The sequence below is a fragment of the Homo sapiens genome, chromosome 19 (assembly GCF_000001405.40).
Source record: "Homo sapiens chromosome 19, GRCh38.p14 Primary Assembly".
Classification (NCBI taxonomy): domain Eukaryota; kingdom Metazoa; phylum Chordata; class Mammalia; order Primates; family Hominidae; genus Homo; species Homo sapiens.
The window spans coordinates 49764225-49790124 of record NC_000019.10 but is presented as its reverse complement, the minus strand read 5'-3'; the positions used below and the strand labels follow the sequence as shown (position 1 = coordinate 49790124).

Sequence of the window (25900 nt, the reverse complement as noted above, 5' to 3'; positions counted from 1 at the left end):
TTTAGCCCCGTGAGATGGATGTTGGACTTCCGACATCCAGAACCGGTGTTTGACACCGCTGTGCTGGTGGTAATTCATCACAGCAGTCACAGGAAACCAGGGTCAGCACTTGCCTGGCACAGAACCTGGCAGCCAGCGGGCAGCCCATCTCAGAGGGCTGACTCCAGGCCCCAACCATAACCCAGCTCCTAGCACAGCAAAGAGCATGGAGCATGATGTTGTTCTAGAAGAGGATCCCAGGGGAGCACCTTCTGGGGTCAGACACGCCTGCATGAGGTTGTGACTGTGGGGCACAGATGGGGGTAAGCCACTGACCCTCTCTGATGGGCTGTTTCCCCTTCAGGAAAATGAGGAGCCTTGTCGGCTTTGGGGAGAAAGAAATAAGATGGTGGGCCAGGCATGGTGGCTTACACCTGTAATCCCAACACTTTGGGAGGCTGAGGCAGGCGGATCACTTGAGGCCAGGTGTTTGAGACCGGCCTGGCCAGGCCAACGTGGTAAAACCCTGTCTCTACAAAAAAAAAAAAAAAAAAAGGCCAGGCGCAGTGGCTCACACCTATAATCCCAGCACTTTGGGATGCTGAGGCAGGTGGATCACCTGAGGTCAGGAGTTTGAGACCAGCCTGGCCAACATGGTGAAACCCCATCTCTACTAAAAATACAAAAATTAGCTGGGCATGGTGGCACGTGCCTGAAATCCTAGCTACTCGGGAGGCTGGGGCAGGAGAATCGCTTGAACCTGGGAGGCAGAGGTTGCAGTGAGCTGAGATCTCACCATTGCACTTCAACCTGGGAGACAGAGTGAGACTCCGTCTCAAAAAAAAACAGAAATGAGATTGTGTGGTGCATGGCCATAGCCTTGAGTAAGAGGAGGTGCTGGGAGCTGTCAAGACTGGCCCAGCCATGGCCTATCAGTAAAGGGTTTCCCAGAAAGCACCCAACAGACAGCAAAAGACACAGGGGAGAAGTCCTCAGAGGGGAGACCTGCACGAGTCAAAGGCCTGTGGCAGCATGTCTCACTGGATGTGCAGCCACCCAGCAGGTGGCTCCTGCCGTCATCCAGGCAGATACTCGCCCGACTGACGCCTGTTGCTACGGCCTCCTAAAGTGCTGGGAACCCTCGTGTGCTGCAGCTGGAGGCGGACACAGGGACAGGCCCTCTGGAGAGGCTCTGGGCTTCCTCTGTCTAGAAAGGCCACTGCTGTGTGTGCAGCAGACCAAGACCAGCAGTGCTGCCCCCAGACGCTCACCCTACAGAAACGTTCACTGCCCAGTGGTCATCAAGTTAGAACCAGAAACCAGCAAGAAGCCTGGCCACAGACGATGCTCCATTTGTGACGGCACTTTCCCACCTCCGTCACAGCGCACATCTCCCGAGCCCTGACTCCAGGCCACTTTCCCATCTCCGTCACGGCGCGCATCTCCCGAGCCCTGACTCTGGGCCACCTTCCCATCTCTGTCATGGCGCTCATCTCCCGAGCCACAGTGCATCTCCCGAGCCCTGACTCTGGGCCACTTTCCCATCGCTGCCACGGCGCACATCTCCTGAGCCACAGCGCATCTCCCGAGCCCTGACTCTGGGCCACTTTCCCATCGCTGCCACGGCACACATCTCCTGAGCCACAGCGCATCTCCCGAGTCCTGACTCTGGGCCAAACTCTGCTCTAAGTGTTCCCGCACAGCTCGCTCGCTCCCCACCACAGCCCTCTAAGGACGCGGATTCTATCATCTCCATTTACAGATAAGGATACCACACAAAGGAATAAGAGCTATTTATCAACTTGGTTAAGTGGAATAAGGGCTATGGCGCTACTTAGGAAAATGTTAAACTACACAATATCAAGCTGCATATTCAAGTATAAAAAATAAAACCACAAGTCAGGCGCGGTGGCTCACGCCTGTAATCTCAGCACTTTGGGAAGCTGAGGCCACGGAGGATCACTTGAGCTCAGGAGTTCAAGACTAGCCTGGGTAATATAGTGAGACCCTGTCTCTATAAAAAATTCAAATATTAGCCAGGCCTGGTGGCTTGTGCCTGTAGTCCCGGCTGCTGGAGTGGCTGACGTGGGAGGATCACCTGAGCCTGGGAGGTCAGGGCTGCAGTTAGCTATGATCATGCCACTGCACTCCAGCCTGGGCAGCAGAGTGAGACTCTATCTCGAGCAAATCACGGATATGCACCACAATGTGGATGAACCTGAAAAACATCTTGTTGAGTGGAAGAAGCCAGACACAGAAGGCCACCTACTGTGCGGTTCCATTTCTATGAAATGTCCACATTAGGCAAATCTGTGACAGAAAGCAGATTGGTGGCAGCCAGGGGCTGGGGGGAAGAGGGAATGGGGAGGGACTGCTAATGGGTACAGAGTCTTTTTTTGGAGCAATGAGTGTTCTGCAATTAGGTGGTAGTGGTTGTTGCACAGCATCATCAATATACTAGAAACCACTGAACTGAACACCTTCAAATGGTTAAAATGACCGGGCGCAGAGGCTCACGCCTGTAATCCTAGCACTTTGGGAGGCTGAGGCAGATGGATCAATAGAGGTCAAGAGTTTGAGACCAGTCTGGCCAACATGGCAAACCTCGTCTCTACTAAAAAAAAAAAAAAAATAGCCAGGTGTGGTGGCACACACCTGTAATCCCAGCTACTCAGGAGGCTGAGACAAGAGAATTGCTTGAACTTGGGAGGCAGAGGTTGCAGTGAGCCAAGATTGCACCACTGCACTCCAGCCTGGGTGACAGAGAGAGACTGCCTCAAAAAAAAAAAAACAAAAAACAAAAAAAACAAACAAAAAAAGCCTAGATGGGAGTGGTGGCTCACACCTGTAATCCCAACACTTTGGGAGGCTGAGGCAGGAGGATTGCTTGAGCTCTGGAGTTCAAGACCAGCCTGGAGCCTGGGCAACATAGCAAAACCCCATCTCTACAAAAAAAAAAAGAAATACAAAAATTAGCCAGGCATGGTGGTGCACGCCTATAATCACAGCTACTCAGGGGGCTGAGGTGGGAAGATCGCTTCAGCCCAGGAGTCGGAGGTTGCAGTGAGCCAAGACTGTGCCACTGCACTCCAGCCTGGGCAACAGGGCAAGACCCTGTCTCCAAAAAATAAAAAGTTAAATAAAAGTCTACCTACAAAATAAAGTTCCTTCGTGCCCCAGTCACTGCTGAGGCCAAGTTTCCAGTGTGGAGGGGGCAGCCTAGAGCCAGACAGCCCCACCCTGGCCCCTTGACCCTGGCAGAGCACCACCCCTCGGCATCCACTCCAGGGACAATGTCATCTGCACCCACACATGTTGGCCACGGTGGCCTCCCTCTCAGTCCTCAAAGTGCCCGGTTCTTCCCTCTTCAGGGTGGCTTGTAACCTCTGTCTCCCCCAAGCTGATGCTGACTGCCTGTCCTTGTCCTAAAGAAACTGCTGGCAGCATTTGCGACTGGCCACTCCCTCCTCCATCAAAGTTCTTAGCATTCTGAGTCATGGCCTGATCCTGATTTTCCTCCCACACCCCTGATCATGACTCCCACCCCCCCTGCCAGAGCGTAACACGCTGGGCTGCACCAGGGCCACTCAAGGGCCCAGCTTTTGGGAATTCCCAGTTAACACCTGCCCTCAGGGGCTTCACCAGGCCCGAGCTTAACTGCCATCAATCCCCATGCTGTCAGATACAACAGCCCCCAGAGCACTGGAACTGCAGCGAGTCCAAACTGAGAGACACCCGCAACGCCGCATTCCAAAGACTTAGCACCAAACACAGATGTCAAATAAAATAGCTCGTGAATAATTTTTACGCTGATTCAGTGTCAAAGTGATAATATTTTGTGTGGATCAGGTTAAACTGAAATATTAAATACTAGAAAACAGAAAAACACCTATGTGGCTTGCATTATATTTTTTTTAGACAGGGTGTCACTGTCACCTAGGCATGATCACAGCTCACTGCAGCCTGGGCCTCTTGAGCTCAAGCAATCCTCCCATCTCAGTCACTCGAGTAGCTGGGATTACAGGCACACATTTGTATTTTGCTTTTTGTTTGTTTGTTTTTTGTTAAGATGGAGTCTCACTCTGTCACTCGGGCTGGAGTGCAGTGGTGCAATCTCGGCTCACTGCAACCTCTGCCCCCCGGGTTTATGCGATTCTCCTGCCTCAGCCTCCTGAGTAGCTGGGACTACAGGTGTGCACCACTGCACCCCACTAATGTTTTTTTTTTTTGAGATGGAGTCTCGCTCTGTCACCCAGGCTGGAGTGCAGTGGCACAATCTCCACTCACTGCAACCTCCACCTCCTGGGTTCAAGCAATTCTCCTGCCTAAGCCTCCCAAGTAGCTGGGATTACAGGTGCCCGCCACCACACCTGACTAATTTTTGTATTTTTAGTAGAGACGGGGCTTCACCACGTTGGCCAAGCTGTTCTTGAACTCCTGACCTCAAGTGATCTGCCCACCTTGGCCTCCCAAGGTGCTGGGATTACGGGTGTGAGCTGCTGTGCCTGGCCTGTATTTTGCATTATATTTTTATTGGACGGTGCCGATCTCTCTCAGATCTCTCTCCCTCCCGCCCTGACTCCCTGCAATCCAACTTCCTCCCCAGAGTCCTACTCAGATGTCTAATACACATCTCAAATTCAGCATGACCAAACCACACTCAGGTTCTGCCCTCTCTGACCCATTTTCCTATGGCCTTTGTCACATTGCTGAAAGGTCTGCCATCATTCACTCACCTGTTCAATGTCCCCACCTCATCCTAGCACAGCACATATAATCCATCGACTCTACTCCCGAAACATGCCCTTCTCATAACCACATGACCGCCACAGCCCTGGTCCAAGCCACCGCGAGCTCTGACCTGGACCTGGTGACAGATGCCTGGCTGGTCTTGCTGCCCCACAGTCACCCCCTACAGTCTGTACTTTTGCTTATGATTTCCTGGCCTATTTGAATCTGGGGATCAGCCTCTTTCATCCATTCTGGAATATTTTCAACCATTATCTCTCTTCGAACACTGCCTATGTCACGATCTCTCCCTACAACTCTAAATGGCAATTCTGTTAGATGTTCTCTGTCTTCCATGAGTCTTTGTCTCTTTCCTAAAATCCCCATCGCTTTGTCTTCTTTGGGCTGCATTTTGATGTCTTTCTTCAGTTCTACTGCCAGGCCACTAATTCTGGCTTTGGCTGTGCCTACTCTGCTAACTAAATTCAGACACCTAATTTTTAATGTTTTAAACATTTATTTGTTTTTTGGTTTTTTTTGTTTGTTTGTTTAGACAGGGTCTTACTCTGTCACCCAGGTTAGAGTGCAGTGATGAGATCATAGCTCACTGCAGCCTCATCCTCCCAGGCTCAAGCAATCCTCCTGCCTCAGCCTCCTGGATGGACTACCCAGGCACACAGCACCCCACCCGGCTAATATTTTAGTTTTTGTGGCAATAGGGTCTCACTATGTTGCTGATCTTGAACTTCCGGCCTCAAGTGATCCTCCCACCTCAGCCTCCCAAAGTGCCTGGATTATAGGTGTAAGCCACTACTGTGCCTGGCAATTTTTGACTATTTCAATTATATTTTCAAATCTGCTTAAACTTTACTCATATTTTAAAATGCTTCTCTTATTTATTGAAACATATGAAATATACTTCTTTTACATTCTGTATAATTCCAATTCCAAAGTTATTTTCTGTTTTCTTTTTCTTTTTTTTTTTTGAGACAGAGTCTTGCTCTGTCACCCAGGCTAGAGTGCAGTGGCATGATCTCGGCTCACTGCAACCTCTGCCTCCCGGGTTCAAGTGATTCTCCTGTCCTGCCTCAGCCTCCAGAGGAGCTGGGATTACAGGCATGTGCCACCACACCTGGCTAATTTTTGTATTTTTAGTAGACATATGGTTTCGCCATGTTGGCCAGGCTGGTCTCGAACTCCTGACCTCAGGTGATCTGCCTGCCTCAGCCTCCCAAAGTGCTGGGATTACAGGCGTGAGCACCACGCCCGGCCTTCTGTTTTATTTCTGCTGGTTCTCCCTCATGGTGTCTTGTGTCATGTGTTTAGAGATTTTTGGCTGTGAGCTACTCATATCATTTGGAGCTTTATCTGTGGATATCACTGAAGCTTGTGGTGAAAATGGGCTTCCTCAGAAAAGGCTCGTGTTTGCTTCTGTGAAGCACTAGGGAACCTCCAGTTTCCATCACTTTAAACTAAAGGTTGACTTAGGGGCTTTTGGACTACCCAGATAGGGTAAAGTCAGGCTGAAAACCAGTCTGAGGGCTGCTCCGTGCCAACGTTTCAGACAGGTAATTTTCCTCATAGTCCCCAAGGGGGTTTATTTCTAGGTCACTCTCACTTTGAAGTACAGCCTTCGAGAACTTCTCGGACAAGCTTTGTCTTCTGTTCCCAGAGGCTGCAGGGCCCCAAAACCGATACTCGGGTTCACCCAGTTCAGCAAATGCCTTCTAAGCAAATGCTGGCTCCAGCACGCGGCTCATCTGCTTGGGTGCCCGGCTTCTCTTAGCTTGTGGCCTGTGTGCTCCTCATTTTCTGGCTACCTCATGAATCCATTAAATAATATTGTCTTTCCTCTTTTATCCAATATTGACAGTTAGGTTTCAGGGAGAACATGAGTCGGGTATCTAGCTGACCACACTGCCAGAAATAGAAGTCTCACCTGTGTGCACACCAAGCTGGAGTACACTGGCGCAACCACAACTCATTGCAGCCTAGGCCTCCCCAGCTCAGGAGATCCTCCCACCTCAGCTTCCCGAGTAGCTGGGACTATAGGTGCACGCCACCATGCCCTGGCAATTTTTGGTATTTTTAGTAGAGATTGGGATTTTGCCATGTTGCCCAGGCTGGTCTCAAACTCCTAGACTCAAGCAATCTACCTGCCTCAGCCTCCCCAAATGCAGCGATTACATGAGCCATCGCACCTGGCAAATTCTACACTTCATCCTGCAATTCTTCCATCACCATTTGTCTCCTGCTCCAGACCATGAACACAGGAGGGCAATGACCGTGTCCATCTCTGGACAATACAACATCCCCAGCAATCAGCACAGTGCCTGGCACATAGTATGTGCTCAGTAAATGTTTGGTGAATGAATGGAGAAGATGAGGAAGTTCTGGAGGGCCGTCACCCACATAGCACAGTTACGCCTCTTATCGTAGGTGTTAGAATTCTGCAGTTCAGAAACACCCCACTGGCTTTGCCGGGAGCAGCCTCACACCATCAAGTCAGCTTCGTATCACGGGAAGAGACAAGTATGGGGCTGCCACCGGAACCACTGGGTCCCCAGCCCAGCGTTAGCCCACATCTCGGCTGGGAGACCTTGGGCAGGCAACAGAGCCTCTCTGAGCCTCACACTTGGCTGGGACTCATCACCCCCAGGCCCCCCACTGCCAACGGGTCCCCAGTGCCTTACCCGGCCACCAGGATGCGGGGGATGTCAGCGGCAAAGGCCTCGCCCATCTCCCGGCTGCCCACGTTGGCGATGCAGTGCAGGGCCAGGCACATGAAGGTGGGGTTGCGGCTGGCCAGGTCATTCTTGATGGCGTTGTTGATGAGGCGGATCAGCTCCGAGTTCGAGTTCACCAGCACAGAAATGAACAGGTAACCCTGTGGGGAGGGAGGTCGTGGATGGCTAGGAGCCTTGTGACTGAGTGGCCCCAGATCCAACCCTCAGACCCAGGAGTCCAGGCCCCAGATTCAACCTCAGACCCAGGAGTCCAGGCCCCCAGGCCCCTCCTCCCTCAGACCCACAAGTCCAGGCCCCCAGGCCCCTCCTCCCTCAGACCCACGAGTCCAGGCCCCAGATTCAACCCTCAGACCCAGGAGTCTGGGCTTCCAGCCCTCCTCCCTCAGAATGGGGAGTCCAGACCCCCAGCCCCCTCCTCCCTCAGACCCAGCAGTCCAGAGCCCCAGACCCCCTCCTCCCTCATACCCAGGAGTCCAGACCCCTAGACCCCCTCCTCCCCCAGATCCAGGAGTCCAGACCTCCAGCCCCCTCCCCCGCAGACCCAGGAGTCCAGGCCCTGGCACCCCCCTCTCCAGACTCACTATTTGCTTCTCTGTGTATTTATTGGAACTCAACAGATTCACAGCCTCCATGTGCCCAAAGTCAATGTCATGGCCAAGCAGGAAGATGAAAAGCAGTTTACACACATATTTTTTCTTACTGTAGCCATCCAAGGCTTTGTCTCCTAGGGCAGAGGAAGGAGGAAAGGGGAGCCAGAAATAAGGAAGGGTCACAGGATAGGTCACAGGAGCCCCAGCTCCCAGCCCCCTCCTCCCTCAGAACCAGAAGTTGGGCCCCCAGCCTACCTTTGAACTTGGAGCGGATGTTGGCCAGTTCCTTGTTGATTCTCTTAATTTCCGCCTCTTTGCTCTTACCTGGGAGAGGAGGAGGAGGGTAGGCAGTGAGGGGTCTGGGGAGTCAGCCACCTGCCCTCTCTTTCCTAGGCGCGGCCCCACCCAGCAGGAAGGGCAGATCTTCTCCGCCCCCAAGCCCTGGGGCTCAGGACAGGCCAGGACCCCTTCTCTGGCTGGGAGTTTCAAAGAGGGAAGAACCACCGCTGGCTGAGCCCCACAGCACAGAGCACACACCCTTGGGCTGTCCCTGACTTCCTCTCTCCTTCCTCCTACCACTGTGGCCCCTGATTTGTGGGGCTCCTCAGGGCCCCAGACACGCTCCCTGAGAGCTCCTGTCCCCACTCCCCACATGCGATGAACATGTGATGAATGAATGAATGAATAAAGAGCTTGGCTGGCCGCAGGGTGCTCACCCCTACCACTGAGCTCACTGCCTCTTCCAGTTCTCAATCCCATGAAGGTCCCACTGTCCACCCAGTCACCAGGTCAGACCCTTGGGTGCTGTCCTCACCCCCTTTGTCCCCACAGCCATGGCTTTGTCCTCTCCCGCGTGGCCTGTCCCCACTGCCTCCTGTTCTCTGGCTGCCAACCTCTCCCCAATTTGTCTGGGACATTCCTACACCTCTGACAGGACCTGCTTGTGGAATAAGCACAGAAAGCCTCCCCTGATCCTGCAGGCCAGGTCTCTGCTTCCTCCATGCTCCTCAATGCCCTACAGCACCCCCTTCAGAGCACAATCCGACTGGATGCTCTCGGCTGCCCTCTCTGCTTCTCCTGTCCCTGTTCCACTCACCCCAGACTTCATCCCTCCCTTGACAGGTTCTACCGTTCCCTCTTCTCCTCCAAACAGAACCTGGACATCCTCACGCCAATCGGGCTACTGCCTCGTCCTTTTAATTTTTGAGACAGGGTCTTAGACTGTCGCCCAGGCTGCAGTGCAGTGGTGCAATCATAGCTCACTGTGACCTTAAACTCCTGGGATCCAGCGATCCTCCCACCTCAGCCTCCCAAAATGCTGGGATTACAGGTATGAGCCACTGTGCCCAGCCACCTCCTCCTAACTTGACCTTCAGAACATGTCTTGAGCACCTCCACGATGACCACTTCATCCAGATCCCATGCTCGCTCGCTCAGGTCAGTGAAGCAGCCTCCCCTCCAGCCTTCTTGCCTCCCTCGTGTTTCCATATCCTGGGCTCTGTGATGCCAGCTGGGGGTGCTCCACTCCACGGCCCATCAAGTCCTCTGCCCCTGTCACAGCAACCCTGCCGGTGTCACCCCTCAGACCCCTACTGTCCATCCAGGCCCCCTGGCCTCCATTTTGCTCCGGGAACACGCACATCCTCTTGCCTCAAGGGCCTTCACACAAGCTGTGCCCTCTTCCTGGGGCCACCCCTCCCCTGTCATCTTCCCATCATTTGGGTCTCGGCTCCTGCCACCCCTGAAAGGCCGTTCCGTTTCACTTCCTTAAAGTCAATTCTTTATTATTCTGCTTAAAGAGTTATTTTTCAAGAAGTCCTCTCTGGTACATTTCACCATGTCACAATTTTATTTCTCTCCACTGTCGAACTTCCTCCCACTTCAGACTGTAAGCATCAGGAGGGAGCTCCTAGAGCAGTGCCCTGCATACAGCAGGTGCTCTATAAATGTCTAGTTATGGAAGGGGCAGAGATCTGCTCTGACCCACATCCTTCAGGGCGTAGTCCCCAGCAGGGTGGGGTGTGCATTCAACAAATGAGTCAATGACTGAGAAAGCAAGTATATGTGCCATCCTTCTCTCTAGAAATCCTGTCTTGTCCCTGCTCCCAACTTCTATGGAAGCTCCCATAAGCCTCACTTCAGGTATCACCTCCTCCAGGAAGCCCCTCTGATTAGCACCTCCTGATCAGTGCTAAGAGGACCCTAGCGCTGCACCATCCAATATAGCAGTTGCCAGCCAGTGGCTCCTGAGATCCTGAAATGTGGCCATTCCAAACTGAGAGGGGCTGTCAACAGCAAACATACACGGGATTTAGAAGACAGTGTGGAGAAAAAATGTAAAATATTTCAGTAAAAATTATAGGGGCTAGGCGTGGTGGCTCACGCATGTGAGGCAGGAGGATGGCTTGAGCCCAGGAGTTGGAGACCAGCCTGGACAACACAGTGAGAACTTGTGTGTCAACTAAATAAAACAATACAAATTATAAAGTATTGATCACATGCTGAAATAATAATTTGGGTGTACTGGGTTATAGAGACATATTATTAAAATTAATTTTGCCTGTTTCTGTTTTTTTTTTTTTTTTTTTTTTTTGTAGCCCAGGCTGGAGTGCAGTGGTGCAATCTCGGCTCACTGCAACCTCTGCCTCCTGGGTTCAGTGATTCTTGTGCCTCAGCCTCCAAAGTCGCTGGGACTACAGGTGCATAACACCACATTCAACTAATTTTTTTTTTTTTTTTTTTTTGAGACGGAGTCTCACTGTGTCACCCAGGCTGGAGTGCAGTGGCGCAATTTCAGCTCACTGCAACCTCTGCCTCCCAGGTTCAAGCAATTGTCCTGCCTCAGCCTCCCAAGTAGCTGGGACTACAGGCGCCTGCCACCCACCCCTAGCTAATTTTTTGTATTTTTAGTAGAGATGGGGTTTCAGCATGTTAGCCAGCATGGTCTCAATCTCCTGACCTCGTGATCTGCCCACATTGGCCTCTCAAAGTGTTGGGATTACAGGAGTGAGCCACTTCGCCCAGCCCTAATTTTTTTTTTTTTTTTTGGTAGCAATGAGGTCTTACTATGTTGCCCAGGCTGATCTCGAACTCCTGACTTCAAGTGATCCACCTGCCTCAGCCACCCAAAGTGCTGGGATTACAGGTATGAGCCACCATGCCTGGCCTATATATATATGGTTTTGTCATAAATACGTATATATACATATGCATACCATAAATATAGTATATATAAAGAGTATACACATATTTAAAGAATATGTGTTATTTAAATATATGTATTACTTAATTTAAATAATATGTATTATTTCAATACAGTCCTGCCCCGCATATCAACATTTCAGTCAGCAACAAACCGCACACACTGCAGTGGTTCCATACGATTCTAATGCCTTATTTCGACTGCTCCTTTTCTATGTTTAGATGCACAAATACTTACTGAGTCACGGTTGCCTACAGGACAGTCCCATGCTGTGCAGGTTTTTTTGTTTTATCTTGAGACGCAGTTTCACTCTTGTCGCCCAGGCTGGAGAGCAATGGCGTGATCTCAGCTCACTGCAACCTCCGCCTCCTGGGTTCAAGTGATTCTCCTACCTCAGCCTCCTGAGTAGCTGGGATGACAGGCATGCGTCACCACACCCAGCTAATTAGTGTATTTTTAGTAGAGACGAGGTTTCACCACGTTGGCCAGGCTGGTCTCAAACTCCTGACCTCAAGTGATCTGCCTGCCTCAGCCTCCCAAAGTGCTGGGATTACAGGTGTAAGCCACCACGCCTGGCCACTGTGCAGGTTTACAGCCCAGCAGCAACAAGCTGCGCCACAGAGCCTCAGTGAGTGGTGGGCTATACCATCTCAATTTGTGTAAGCACACTCCAGGATGTTCACACCACAACAAAACCACCTAACGATGCATTTCTCAGAACATATCCCCATCGTTAATACACGAGTGTATTCACTCAATTGTACTTGAAATGATTTAAATATATACACAAATATGTGCATGTATATGTATTCTTTAAATATTCTTTAAATTTAAAGAAATATATATCATATGTACTTATATATTTATATTTACGTATTTCTTTAACTAGTATTCATTTAAAGAAATACATATTATTATATCTATAATATATAGATTTCCTCTCTTTTTCTTGAGACGGGGTCTCACTCTTTCACTGAGGTTGGAATGCAATGGTTTGATCTCAGCTCACTGCAGTCTTGGCCCCTTGGGCTCAAATGACCCTCCCATCTCAGCCTCCCAGGTAGCTGGGACTGTGAGGTGCGCCACCACACTCAGCTAATTTTTTTTCTATTTTTTGTAGAGATAGGGTTTTGCCATGTTGCCCAGGGTGGTCTCAACTCCTCCGCCCACCTCAGCCTCCCGAAGTGCTGGGATTATAGGCATGGGCCACCGCTTACTGCCAGGAAATCTTTTTTTTTTTTTTTGTGATGGAGTCTCGCTTTGTCGCCCAGGATGGAGTGCAGTGGCACCATCTCTGCTCACTTCAAGCTCTGCCTCCCAGGTTCACGCCATTCTCCTGCCTCAGCCTCCCAAGTAGCTGGGGCTACAGGCGCCCGCCACCATGCCTGGCTAATTTTTTGTATATTTAGTAGAGATGGGGTTTCACCATGTTAGCTAGGATGGTCTCAATCTCCTGACCTGGTGATCCGCCCGCCTCAGCCTCCCAAAGTGCTATGATTACAGGCATGAGCCACCGCGCCCGGCTGGAAATCTCTTTTTAAAGTATTACTTAAATTGTATTTAAAATGTATTTACATATATATACAAATATGCATATATATGTATATTTTTCTTTAAATAGGCTTTATTTTTACTTTTTTTCTTGAGACAGAGTCTCGCTCTGTCACCCAGGCTACAGTGCAATGGCACCATCTTGGCTCACTGCAACCTCCACCTCCCAGGTTCAAGCGATTCTCCTACCTCAGCCTCCCGAGCAGTTGGGATTACAGGCACCCACCACCACACCTGGCTTTTTTTTTTTTCCGCATTTTTAGTAGAGACAGGGTTTCACCATGTTGACCAGACTGGTTTTGAACTTCTGACCTCAAGTGATCCACCCGCCTCAGCCTCCCAAAGTAAAGTGCTAGGATTACAGGCATGAGCCACTGCACCTGGCCTTTAAATAGGCTTTAAATGGTCCACATCTATTTGATGCTATCTTCTGCATAACTGGTATAATTTGCTATAAAAAAAGGAATTCAGAGAGAGAAGAAAAGCTCTCGGTCTTCAAAACAGGAGCAGTTGTGGCCCCAAAGGGAGGGCTCTGGCAGAGGCCCAGCTCTGCAAAGATCTAAAGGCCCGTGATGGCCAGGGAGCCCAGGGATACTGTATGGGTGCTACTGGGGTGGTGCCTGGGGAAAGGGCTGAGGCAGCTCTGACAGACCAGGATCATGGGAAGAATGACCCGGCATTCAGGGCCAGCAACAGGGGGAATGAGCTCACTGTCACAGGAGGCAAGCAAGCCTGTGAGAGAGTTTTAAAGGGATTCTCTCATTCACAATGGGATTTCTGGGGCCAGGCTTAAGGATGAGTCACATCTACCCTGCTCTCGAGGCATCCCTGGATTGGAGTGGTGGCAGACAGGGACAGTGGCAAGTATTCTGAAAGAGGTATACACATTTCGGGGCTGAGAGGCTAAAATGAGAATGGCGCAGGGGACGGGGAAGGCTTCTCTGCACACAGCTGCTGGGATCTGAGGATCAAAAGATGAGGCTGAAATGGACCAGGCAGAAACAAGGGGAGGCGCGCTCCAGGCAGGAGGACCAGCAGGTGCAATGGCCTGGAGGTAGGACAGCATGAGGCAAGGCAGGCGGACGGTGATGAAAGAGGCACAGAGTCTGAGGATGCGGGCGGCGGCGGGGGCGGGTGGAGAAGAGCACAGCAGGTGGGGCCAGACCACGCAGCCTCTCCAGAGTTTTCTGAGGTGCTGGGGGGGGCCATGGGAGGGGCAGGCCGTGCTCCGTCCAGTGGCTGTTGCCGTGAGGGGTGTTCGGGTGCGAAGGCGGCCAACATCTTGCTCCAGGCAGAGTAAGGCAGAGTCAAGGGAAGTGCTGACGGGGCCAGGGAGCTGCCTTACCTTGGAGCTTCTGGTTAGGGGAGATAACGCCTTCCCTAAACATGTAAGCCCCAGATCAGGGTGGGTCTGTTACTACCAGCAAAGGCATCCTGTCAAACCTGGGCCCTGCCCTGGAGGGACTAATGTGCATTTATGAAGGTAACACAGGCATCACCCAGCATCTCACCGCAAAGGCCTTCAGAGCCTTCTAGACCAAGGACATTTCCTCTACAGAGACCGAGACCTGATGTGCTTCCTGTACAAGCCCCAGCAGCCCTGAATCCTCAGAAAGCCTTCTGAAGGCTGGGTGCAATGCCTCCCGCCTCTAATCCCAGCACTTTGGGAGGCTGAGACAGGCAGATCACTTGAGCCCAGGAATCTGAGACCAGCCTGGGTAACACAGGCTCATACCTGTAATCCCAGCACTTTGGGAGGCCGAGGCAGGTGGATCACTTGAGGTCAGGAGTTTGGGACCAGCCTGGCCAACATGGCAAAATCCCATATCTACTAAAAATACAAAAATTAGCCGGGCATGGTGGTGCACACCTGTAGTCCCAGCTACTAGGGAGGCTGAGGCAGGAGAATCGCTTGAACCTGGGAGGTAGAGGTTGCAGTGAGCTGAGATCCTGACACTGCACTCAGCCTGGGCCATACAGCAAGACTCCATCTCAAAAAACACTGGTTACACACTGAAATAATAGTTTGGATATACTAGGGTAAAGAAAATATATTAAAATGAATTTCACTGATTATTTTGCTTTTTTAAAAAATATATGGAGACAGGGTCTTGCTGTATTGTCCAGGCTGGAGTGTGGTGGTGCGATCTTGACTCATTGCAACCTCGACCTCCTGGGCTCAAGCGATCGTCCCATCTCAGCCTCCGAAGAAGCTAGGACTACAGGTGCATGCCACCATGCGTGGCTAATTTTAAAAGTTTTTTTGTGGTGGGGAGAGACAGGATCTTGTTGCCTAGGCTGTTCTCAAACTCCTGGGCTCAACCAAACTGCCCGCCTCGGCCCCACAAAGTGCTGGGATTACAGGCGTGAGCTGCCATGCTCAGCCTGTTTTGCTTTTTTTTTTTTTTTGAGACAAAGTCTCTCTCTGTCACCCAGGCTGGAGCGCAGTGGCACAATCTCGGCTCACTGCAACCTCCACCTCCTGGGTTCAAGCGATTCTCCTGCCTCAGCCTCCCGAGTGGCTAGGACTACAGGTGTGCCACGAGGCCCAGCTAATTTGTGTATTTTTAGTAGAGACGGAGTTTCACTATGTTGGCCAGGTTGGTCTCAAACTCCTGACCTCGTGATCCGCCTGCCTCGGCCTCCCAAAGTGCTGGGATTACAGGCGTGAGCCACCATACCTGGCCCCTGTTTTGCTTTTGCAATGTGGCAAGAAAATTTCAACATATGCCGGGCGTGGACAGAGCAAGACTCCGTCTCAAAAAAAGAAAAAAAAAAGAAAATTTCAACATATATATGGCTTGCATTTTGGTGCTGGGTTACACCACTCATATTCTCAAGGTCATCACTATTCCTGGGTGATGAAAATATATTCTTCGTAAATAACAAAATCAAACCCTCTCATTCTCCTGGTCAGCCCCCCTGCTCAGCAGGGCGAACTATTTGGGCCACCAAGACCCTGCCTGAGTTGCCTCCTTACATATTAAGGGTTTGCATGTTCATTTCCTCCTGGATCGGAACACCAGTGCCATGAGGCCAGGGATGTACGGCTGCTTCAGTCCCCACAGTGTTCCCAGGGCCCAGGGCAGCCTGGCACAGGGGAGGTGTTGAATGCGGATTTGTGGACCAAAGCCATCACACAATAACCAGCTGGAAACGGGTGGGGCTGGGGCTCAGGCCTGCATCTGTCCCGTTCTTAAGGGATACCAAATTGAAATCTGTTTGACTTCCTGTGCTCTTCACAGAGGCCAGAGGGATCATGTGAAAACTTGAGTCAGACCCCAGCACTCCTCCAAACCCCTTCCATGGCTCCCAGCAAGTTCGAAGTAAAAGTAAAGTTCTCACTGCAGCCCACAAGGGCCTGCACCATCTACCCTGTTCCCTCTCTGGCCGGTTCTCCTGTCCTCTCTCTCCAAGGCAGGAGCTGCCCTCTCCTCCTCCTAAGTCCCTGCTCCACTACAAGCACAATCCTGCCTCAGGGCCTTTGCACAGGCAGCTCCCTCTTCCAGAGTCATGCATGCACCATTCCCCCACTTAGTTAGATTCTCTGCTCCAATGCCACCTTTTCAGCGACACTCTCTGACCAGCCTATATAAGAGCATCATCCTTAACTCCATCCCCAAGCCCTTTCCTTGCCTCATTTTCCATCAACACCTACTCCCACCTGTCCGGCCCCCAAAATATTCACCTGTGTAGTGGACCATCTCCTCTCTAGAACGTGAGCACCCTAGGGCAGGAACTTCTGCTCACTGCTGTAGCCCCATCACCTAGAACAGTGCCTGGCACCCAGCTGGAACTCAAGAAAGACTGGTTCCATCATTCATTCATTCATTCAACTGGCAATCATCTCCTGAGGCCTCCCATGGGCTAGAACCTACAGAGGACAAAGCTGGAGTGAGACCCAGGGCCTGGGCTCGATGTCACCACTGCAGTGGATCACCATTTGGAGTGGGATGTGCTCTGATGGAAGAGCTCAGGGCAGTGTGCAGCCAGCACCCCGCTCCCATTGGCTCACTCGTCCAACTCTCCTAAGGCCCACTCCAGCCAGACTCTGCCTAGATAGGAGGCAGCCCCAGCCCTTGCTCCCTGTGAGATAATACTTCTGCTGTATTCCTGCTGCAGACAGGACAGAACACGCCCTCGGGCTGGGCCCAGCCTCAACCTCTCCCCCTCCTTATCTGCAGAATTTGCCCTCCCTGCCCTCCTTAGAGCCTGCCTTTCACCTTCTAGACCCTTCCCCATAGCCCCACTGTGCCCTTCAGATCCTCCTGCTGGCTGGCTCCACACTCTTCCCTCTGCTGCTCTCTGAGCCCTGCCTCTCCCCACCTCCTCCTCCGCATCCCTCCGCCCTTCTCTTCCCTCGCTCCTGCTTGAAACCTTCTCCAGAGCTCTCAGGACAAACACGGACCTAGCCTCTGCCCACTCCCCAGCGTCAGATCCCATCCCTCTCTGCACCAGCCACACAGCCCTTTTCTCAGGGTCTCACTGGGGCATCAGGGCCTTTTTTTGTTTCCAGAAAGAATTCTTGGGCCGGGCGCGGTGGCTCACGCCTGTAATCCCAGCACTTTGGGAGGCCGAGACGGGCGGATCACGAGGTCAGGAGATTGAGGCCATCCTGGCTAACACAGTGAAACCCCATCTCTACTAAAAAAAAAATACAAAAAATTAGCCGGGCGTGTTGGCGGGCGCCTGTAGTCCCAGCTACTCGGGAGGCTGAGGCAGGAGAATGGCATGAACCCGGGAGGCAGAACTTGCAGTGAGCCGAGATCGCACCACCGCACTCCAGCCTGGGGGACAGAGCGAGACTCCGTTTCCAAAAAAAAAAAAGAATTCTTGAAAATAGAGAAGGGGGCCAGGCACTGAGCCTCACTCCTGTAATCCCAGCACTTCGGGAGGCCGAGGTAGGCAGATCACTTGAGCCCAGGAATTTGAGACCAGCCCGGGCAACATAATAAAAACCCATCTCCGTGAACCCGGGAGGTGGAGCTTGCAGTGAGCGGAGATCGCGCCACTGCACTCCAGCCTGGGCGACAGAGCAAGACTCCATCTCAAAAAAAAAAAAAAAAAAAAAAAAAAAAAAACTCTATGAAAAATACAAAAAAATTTGCTGGGCATGATGGCATGTGCCTATAGTCCCAGCTACTTAGGAGGCTGAGGCGGGAGGATAGCTTGATCCCAGGAGGAGGAGGTTGCAGCGAGCTGAGATCGCACCACTGTACTCCAGCCGGGATGACAGAGCCAGACTCTGTCAAAAAAAAGAAAGAGAGACAGGGTCTTGCTATGTTGCCAAGGCTGGTCTCAAATTCCTGGCCTCAAGCAATCCTTCTGCCTCCACCTCCTGAGTAGCTGGGACTAGATAGAGATGCCCGCCATGGCGTCCGGAAGTCAGGACCTTTGCACTTGCCCCGCCTCTGCCTTCACAGCTCTTCTCACTGCCCTCAGCCTAGGTAACTCCCCTACTTCCTGCCCACACAGCTCCAAAGGTCTCTTGTGAAGCAAAGCCAGGCCGCAGCTCGCTGACCACACAGAATCCCCATTCTCTCAACACCATGGCCCTCTTCCTCACTGGGCTTAGGACAGCTGCAAATTCTTTCCCCATTTAAAAAAAAATCGAGATACGGCCAGGCGCGGTGGCTCACACCTGTAATCTCAGCATTTTGTGAGGCTGAAGCAGGCAGATCACTCGAGATCAGGAGTTCGAGACCAGCCTGGCCAACATGGTGAAACCCTGTCTCTACTAAAAATACAAAAATCAGCGGGGCATAGTGGCGGGCGCCTATAATCCCAGCTACTCGGGAGGCTGAGGCAGGAGAATCGCTTGAACCTGGGAAATGGAGGGTGCAGTGAGCCAAGATCGCGCCATTTTTGTGACTGTCACAAAAAAAAAGAGATACAATTCACATACCATAAAATTGACCCTTTTACAGTGAACAATTCAGCGTTCTTTAGTACATTCATGATGTTGTGCAACCATTACTACTATCGAATTCCAGGACCTTTCTTTTTTTTTTTTTTTTTTTTTTTAAGAGATGAGGTTTCACTATGTGGCCCGGGCTGGATTCGAACTCCTGGGTTCAAATGATCCTCCTACCTCAGTCTCCCAAGTAGCTGGGACTACAAGCATGTGCCGTGTCCAGCTGTAGGCTTTTTCATGAACCCAAAAGAAGCTCTGAATGCTGCCGGGCATGGTAGCTCACACCTGTAATCCTAGCACTTTGGAAGGCTGGGGTAGTGGATCACCTGAGGCCAGGAGTTCGAGACCATCCTGACCAACATGTAAAAACCCCGTCTCTACTAAAAGTACAAAAATTAGCCAGGTGTGGTGGCACACGCCTGTAATCCCAGCTACTCAGGAAGCTGAGGCAGGAGAATCGCCTGAACTTGGGAGGCAGAGGTTGCAGTAAGCCGAGATCACCCCATTGCACTCCAGCCTGGGCGACAGAGTGAGACTCCATCTCAAAAAATAAAAAAAGAACCTATGCATTCATGAGCAGTCACTCCCCATCCCACCAGCCCCTACTCTAGGCAACCACTAATCTTTCTGTCTCCATGGATCTGCCTATTCAAGATACTCTATCAACATGGAATCATACAACACGTGGCCTCCTGTGTCTGGCTTCTTTCACTTGGTGTCATGTTTTCAAGGTCCATCCCTGTGGCAGCATGTAGCAGGACGTCATTATTTTTTAAGGCCCGGTAATATTCCACTACATAGACCACACTTTATTTCTCAGTTGATGGGCATTTGGCCCGTTTCTGTTTTCCGGCTATCATGAATAATGTTGCAGTGAACATCCGTGTCCAGGTATTAGTGTGAAGGACTACTGCAATTTGTATGTTGCACCTTCTCCCCCACAGGGCTGGGAGCTTCATGGAGGGGGTGGACAAGTCTGTCCTGTTCACCAGTGTCCCCAGCATTCAGCACAATTCTTGAGACATACCAGCCGTTCAACATACGCTTGCTAAGAAAAGGCTCCTGATTCTCCAGCCCTAATTCCTGTGGCTAAATTACTACCAGTGCCCCAAGCCTGCATCTCCCCTCTGTCCTCTGGCTCGTCTCTGGGGTCCTGCAGTGACGGGACGATCTCTTTCCTTCCCCAACCCCCATCATCAAATCCCTTTGCAAATCCTGACAGTTTTTCCTTCAAGTTGTATCCCAGGCTGGGTGCAGTGGCTCACGCTTATAATGCCAGCACTTTGGGAGGCCAAGGCGGGCAGATCACTTGAGGTTGGGAGTTCGAGACCAGCCTGGCCAACATGGGGAAACCCTGCGTCTACTAAAAATACAAAAATTAGCCAAGCGTGGTGGCGGGTGCCTGTAATCCCAGCTACCGGGGAGGCTGAGGCACGAGAATTGCTTGAACCTGGGAGGCGGAGGTTGCAGTGAGGTATGATCGTGCCACTGCACTCCAACCTGGGCAACAGAGACTGTCTCGGAAAAAAAAATGTATCACCAACCCATTTCTCACCAGTCCCTTCTCACCCTGTTAAGCCAGCACCATCTCTCACCCAGAGGCCTGCAACACCCTCCTAATTTGGTTCCCTGCTTCCATGGCTACCTCTAGAATCTGTTCTCACAGCAGCCAGAGGAATTATCTTAAAACATCAATCGGTCACATCCCTCCCCTGCTCAAAATATTCTCATGCAGACAAAGGCCAAAGTGCTCACCATGGCCCAGAAAGCCTTTCCCGATCCTGTTCCCACTCCCCTCCACACCCGCCCTCTCTCCCCTTCACTCCCACAGCTTCAGCCACACTGACCTTCTCCCTCTCGCTCGAACACATGTCAAGCATGCCGCAACCTCAGGACCTCTGAATGCACCTCCCTGTGCCAGGACCCCTTTCCTCCAAAATCCACAGGGCTTGCTCCACTCAGATATGACTTCCTCCACGAGGCCTACTGAGTACCCTCTCCATCCTAGTCCCTCTCCCGACCATTTCCTCCTTATTTTTCTTCACAGAACCAGTCAGGTCCTGAGGTTGTATATCAGGGTGTTCCCTGTGCATATGTTCTGTCTTCCTCGGGGAAGGGAGCTCCCAAGGACAGGAGTTTCTTTTTCTTTTTTTTTATTTTTGGAGACGGAGTTTCACTCTTGTTGCCCAGCCTGGAGTGCAATGGTGTGAATCTCGGCTCATTGCAACCTCTGCCTCCCGGGTTCAAGCGATTCTCCTGCCTCAGCCTCCTGAGTAGCTGGGATTACAGGCACCCACCACCACACCTGGCTAATTTTTGTATTTTTAGTAGAGATGGAGTTTCACCATGTTGGCCAGGTTGGTCTTGAACTCCTGACCTCAGGTGATCCGCCTACCTCGGCCCCCCAAAGTGCTGGGATGACAGGCATGAGCCACCATGACCAGCAAGAACAGGAATTTCTGTTCACTATTGTCACCCCAGTACCTAGAACAGGGCCTGGACAACACTAGAGCAATCAAAAAGTATTTGTCAAGTGAATGAATGAATAAATGAGCCTTCAGAGGCAAGACACTGTTATGAATGAAGTTTGCAGACAAGAAAACGTCCTGAAAGAGGTTAAACAACTCGTGGAGGGTCACATCCCTGGTGGGTAACAGAGGCAGCCCCCGTCTGCTAACAGTGGCTCCCAGCTCCTCCACAACCCCCATAGCCCCGCCCCTTATCATAACAAGTGATCATTTCTCCTCCAACTGATACTCAACTGTTTCCACCCTCCTGTTCCCTGAGCACCTATTACATGCCAGATCCTTCCATAACAGTTAAATTCTAAAACAACAACCATCACTGGGTACTTTACAGGGCTGCTGTTCAGAGCCAACGGAGTAAAAACAATAGCCAAGTTCCATCTGGGGCCTGGAACGAGTGAAAGGCCTGAGGGGCATTGTCACAAGCCCCTCAGGAAGATACTATCAGCAGTCTCTCTTGACAGATGAGGAAACCGAGAGGTGAAGTCCCTCATTCAAGGTCACACAGCCAGGGAGTGGCAGTGCTCAAACGCAAACCCAAGTCTGGCTGACCCCAGAGCCCATGCGGATGCAGCCTCTGAAGACTCCTGGCAGCTCCAATCACCCACAGCCATTCCCAGGAGTTGAGAGCTGACTTGCCGCCAGGATTCCCATCGTCACGACAACTCTTCCTGGCAGGGACCACCGTCCCCATATTACTGTGGTCAAATAGAAAAGGGCTCAGATCCCTGCCTGTCCTGCTGCCTGACCCCTGACCTCTCTCTGGGATTAGACTTCCCCTATTCCCAGCTTTCCAGATATCTACCCCTCAAGCACTTCAGAACCCAACGCCTTCCTTGAGGTCTGGGCGCTCCTTCTTCTACCCTTTCCCCAATCCCCTACTCTAATGTCCTCTTCTTTCCTGGCCCCCCGTTCCCTGTCACAGGTTCTCCCAAGACCTTACACCGACAGCTCTTTTCCTCTGTGTTCCTTGGGTCCCTCCTTTCCCCTCAGCTGCCCCTCTAGCCCCCTCCACACTGCCTTCCATGTCTTCTAGGCAATCTCCCACCCTGAAGCCCCTCTATCCTTCACCAGGGTGTCCTTATAGTCTCCCCGTCCCATCATCTCCCTGCCCCAAACTCATGGACTTTCAACCACTCTCAGGCCTCCTCTATACCACTGGCCAGGAGCCTCGGTGACCTATCTAACCCCTTTCCCCTGTATGACACCCCCTATCCCAGGTCCTCAAGCCCTGCTTCATTAGGCTTCCGGCATTCCACTTCCTCCAGGTCCCCTCTGGCCTCTTCCCATTCCATCGCTCCACAGGGCACCCCCGCCATACACTTCTTTCACTTCTTCTCTACATTGGGAATCCCTCTAACCCCATCGTTTGTAAGATCCCCCAGCTTTTCAGTCTTTCCCAGGGGACACCTCTATGCTCCCATCCCCGGGACCTCACTGGCTTCCTCCCCTTTCAAGCCCTCCCGGACCCCTCTAGCTACTCCGTGTCGTCACCTCAAGAGGCACTCTATGACACCCCAAGCCCCTACGTGCCCCCCACTCTAAAGTTCTTCCTGGGGCCCATCTATGCTGTCCCTATACGGCCGCAGAGGCTTTTGATCCCCCGGGTCCCTCTGTGATCCCCAAACCCCTCAATTTCACGCTCCCCCCTCCCCCGCGTCTCCAGTGTCCCCCGGCCGCGCGCTCACAGTTCCGGATGTCGGAGATGAACACCGCGAGCCCCCGCATCCCATCGCCCTTGGACACGGCCGGCATGATGGCGGTGGTGTCGGCTCCAGGCCTGGCCGGACAGGGCACAGAGCAGCGGGGGCTGGCAAGCGGGGACCGGGCGGAAAGGACCCCAGGCAGCGCCAAGGAGCCGAGCCGGCCGCGGGGAGGGCTGGCTGGCGGGCGGGCGGGCGGGCTGGCAGGCCGTGGCACCGCCCCCTGCCCCTCCCCTCCGCCCGCGGTCCGGAGCTCTGAGCCGCCCACTGGCTTGAGCTCCTGCCGCTCACAGGCGGGTTTCTCCCCCACTTCCTCTCTCATTGGCCGCCAAGCAAAGGCACGACGCTACGATTGGCCCAGTGTTCCGCTATTTCCGTTTGGGAGCTGGGGAGGGGGGGGAGGAGGCGTTGCCCGAGAGACGGGCGGGGTTCGATTGCGTATCATGGGCCCGCCCCCTCCGCGCGGCCAGGTCAAACACTGATTGGATCTAGCGGCTCTCCAAGGAGGAAGGGAGGGACGTGAAGGAAGGCGGGGAACGGTCCTAGGAGGCGGGACTTAGGTTGACTGGGACCAATGAACGGGTAGACCTGCCCCGCAGGCGTCGCGGATTGGCGAGATCTGTCCTACTTCAGCCCTCCATTGGGCGGCTGTGGGGCGGGCGGAAGGCGAAGATCAGTAGAGAAGGAAAGAGGGGAGGGTGTCACTCCGCTCGGCTGGGATAGGTGGAGCGACGCCTGCAATTCCCTGCTGCAGAGAAGGGGTTGGGCGAGGCAAGAGAGCGTGCGGTGTTTACTGCGCAAGCGTCTCCGTGTTCCCTTTCTCCCTCCACTGTCACCCCCGACTGCTGAAATCCTCTTCTAGGAAGCCTTCCTCCCCTCCCCCCTTCTCTGCAGCCAACGTGTCGGGACTTGAGTTGTCAGGAGACCTAGAATCTCAGAGTGAAAAACAGTAATTCAAGGCTAGTCCCATTAAGCAGAAGTTAAAACTTAGGTCGAGAGGGCGAATGACTTGCCCAGGGCCACACAGCTTGGAAGTGAAAAAGCAGAAATAAACGTAAACCGTATCTTGGCTTACTTTTCAATATATGTTGCCTTTTTTTTTTTGTCCAACCGCAGTGTCTCTCGGGCAGCCTCCATTGTAGCAGATATCAAACCAAAATTGATTGTCTCCTCCAGACTGGGAACTCCTTCTGGGCAAGAATGGGACCTGGCCTTGAACAGTTTCAACAACATTTGTTAAAAGAAGAAATAGGTGAATCTGCTTTGGCCCAGCCCCAGCCTCCATCCCCAACCCCCAGCTCCCCAGAGACTCTTTGGTAAACTGGCTTTGGGGAAGGCAAAACGGCCAGAACTCCCAACGCCCCAGGAGATTGAGAAATTTGGGACAAAGGGAACTGGAAGAGTCCATTTCTGTCACCTGTAGGAACAAAACTCCACCCCATCAGCCTTTTCTAATCTCAGAAGCCAAGAATTCCTGGAATGAGCCTTGGGGGTGTGTTCTGGACCTTTGGAATGGCCATTCTGAATCCTGGGAGATGGAAAGGAGGTTGAGAAGAGCCCACCTTCCAGGCTCAATGGATGCGTCCATTTGGGTTTCCAGGAATGGGGCCTGGGAAAGTCCATTTTGGATTCCAGGAGGACAGAAATTGCTCAGCTGTTTTAGTCACAGGGAGAGTCCATTTCTAATATGGGAGGGGGGTGCTGTTTGCCCCTGAAGAACATAAAGCAGCCCCATTAAACACAAGAAAAATTATTAATCCCAGGACTTGAAGTTCTTTTTTTTTTTTTTTGAGATGGAGTCTCGCTCTGTCGCCCAGGCTGGGGTGCAGTGGCGCGATCTCAGCTCACTGCAACCTCCGCCTCCCGGGTTCACGCCATTCTCCTGCCTCAGCCTCCCAAGTAGCTGGGACTACAGGCGCACGCCACCATGCCTGGCTAATTTTTTGTGTTTTTAGTAGAGACGGGGTTTCACCGTGTTAGCCAGGATGGTCTCGATCTCCTGACCTTGTGATCCGCCCACCTCGGCCTCCCAAAGTGCTGGAATTACAGGCGTGAGCCACTGCGCCCGGCCTTTTTTTTTTTTCTTTTTTTTGAGACAGAGTCTCTCTCTGTCCCCCAGGCTGGAGTTCAGTGACTCAATCTCGGCTCACTGTAACCTCTTCCTCCCGAGTTAAAGCGATTTTCCTGCCTCAGCCTCCTAAGTAGCTGGGATTACAGGCACCCGTCATCATGCTCGCCTAATTTTTGTATTTTTGTAGAGACAGTGTTTCACTATGTTGGCCAGGCTGGTCTTGAACTCCTAACCTCAGGTGATCCGCCCGCCTCGGCCTCCCAAAGTGCTGGGATTACAGGTGTGAGACACCGCGCCCAGCCAGGAGTTCTTTATTATAGAAAGATTAAGTGTTCCAAGAACTGGAGTCCATTCATGACCAGGAAGAAGTACTTTCTCCCTGGGGATAACAGCATTTAAAATGTCTATTAGCAGTGATGTTTGAACTAGTCTTTTTGAGAAGTGTGAAGAGAACAGGAAAAGTCTGTCCCTAAATAGCAGGGCAGTGCTCGCTTCGACAGCACATGTATTAACATTGGAACGATACAGAGAAGATTAGCATGGGCCCTGCGCAAAGACCACATGCAAATTTGTGACATGTTCCATATATTTTTTAAATACTTTGGGCGGGCGGGGCGCAGTGGCTCACACCTGTAATTCCAATGCTTTGGGAGGCTGAAGTGGGCAGATCACGAGGTCAGGAGTTGGAGACTAGCCTAGCCAACACAGTGAAACCCTGTCTCTACTAAAAATACAAAAAAAAAATTAGATGGGTGTGGTGGCAGGTACCTGTAGTCCCAGCTACTCAGGAGGCTGAGGCAGGAGAATCGCTTGAAACTGGGAGGTAGAGGTTGCAATGAGCCAAGATCACGCCACTGCACTCCAGCCTGGGTGTCAGAGCGAGACTCCAT

The 25900-nt window shown here is 52.0% G+C and overlaps 1 protein-coding gene and 1 pseudogene across 4 annotated transcripts in view, besides 5 other annotated features; one reads left to right on the top strand and one right to left on the bottom strand.

Annotated features, from left to right (window-relative positions):
- The window catches only part of AP2A1 (adaptor related protein complex 2 subunit alpha 1), a 40114-nt gene extending 16990 nt beyond the window's left edge, over positions 1-23124 (bottom strand). For 2 of the 4 annotated variants that reach the window (NM_014203.3, NM_130787.3), the window contains exons 1-4: positions 22925-23124; positions 8300-8368; positions 8036-8178; positions 7401-7594 (exon numbers count right to left, since the gene is read on the bottom strand). In NM_014203.3, coding sequence (NP_055018.2) covers positions 7401-7594; positions 8036-8178; positions 8300-8368; positions 22925-22991 — 473 coding nt within the window. In that variant the 5' untranslated portion in view covers positions 22992-23124. Of the gene's footprint in view, positions 1-7400; positions 7595-8035; positions 8179-8299; positions 8369-9414; positions 9721-22924 lie in introns of those variants that run through there. The other 2 variants (XM_011526556.3, XM_011526557.4) reach the window with 1 other exon arrangement.
- Positions 17796-18720: an enhancer, noted in NCBI's record as "H3K27ac-H3K4me1 hESC enhancer chr19:50274662-50275586 (GRCh37/hg19 assembly coordinates)". NCBI's record gives its function as "activates a minimal SCP1, AML or CMV promoter by ChIP-STARR-seq in naive H9 embryonic stem cells {active_cell/tissue: H9 hESC(naive)}" and the evidence as "EXISTENCE:reporter gene assay evidence [ECO:0000049][PMID:30033119]".
- Positions 22660-23428: an enhancer, noted in NCBI's record as "H3K27ac hESC enhancer chr19:50269954-50270722 (GRCh37/hg19 assembly coordinates)". NCBI's record gives its function as "activates a minimal SCP1, AML or CMV promoter by ChIP-STARR-seq in primed H9 embryonic stem cells {active_cell/tissue: H9 hESC(primed)}" and the evidence as "EXISTENCE:reporter gene assay evidence [ECO:0000049][PMID:30033119]".
- Positions 22660-24459: a biological region, named in NCBI's record as "hESC enhancers GRCh37_chr19:50268923-50269900 and GRCh37_chr19:50269954-50270722".
- Positions 22990-23569: a silencer, noted in NCBI's record as "silent region_10935". NCBI's record gives its function as "represses an Ori minimal core promoter by ATAC-STARR-seq in GM12878 lymphoblastoid cells {active_cell/tissue: GM12878}" and the evidence as "EXISTENCE:reporter gene assay evidence [ECO:0000049][PMID:35858748]".
- Positions 23482-24459: an enhancer, noted in NCBI's record as "H3K27ac-H3K4me1 hESC enhancer chr19:50268923-50269900 (GRCh37/hg19 assembly coordinates)". NCBI's record gives its function as "activates a minimal SCP1, AML or CMV promoter by ChIP-STARR-seq in primed H9 embryonic stem cells {active_cell/tissue: H9 hESC(primed)}" and the evidence as "EXISTENCE:reporter gene assay evidence [ECO:0000049][PMID:30033119]".
- Positions 25495-25600, top strand: RNU6-841P (RNA, U6 small nuclear 841, pseudogene; annotated as a pseudogene).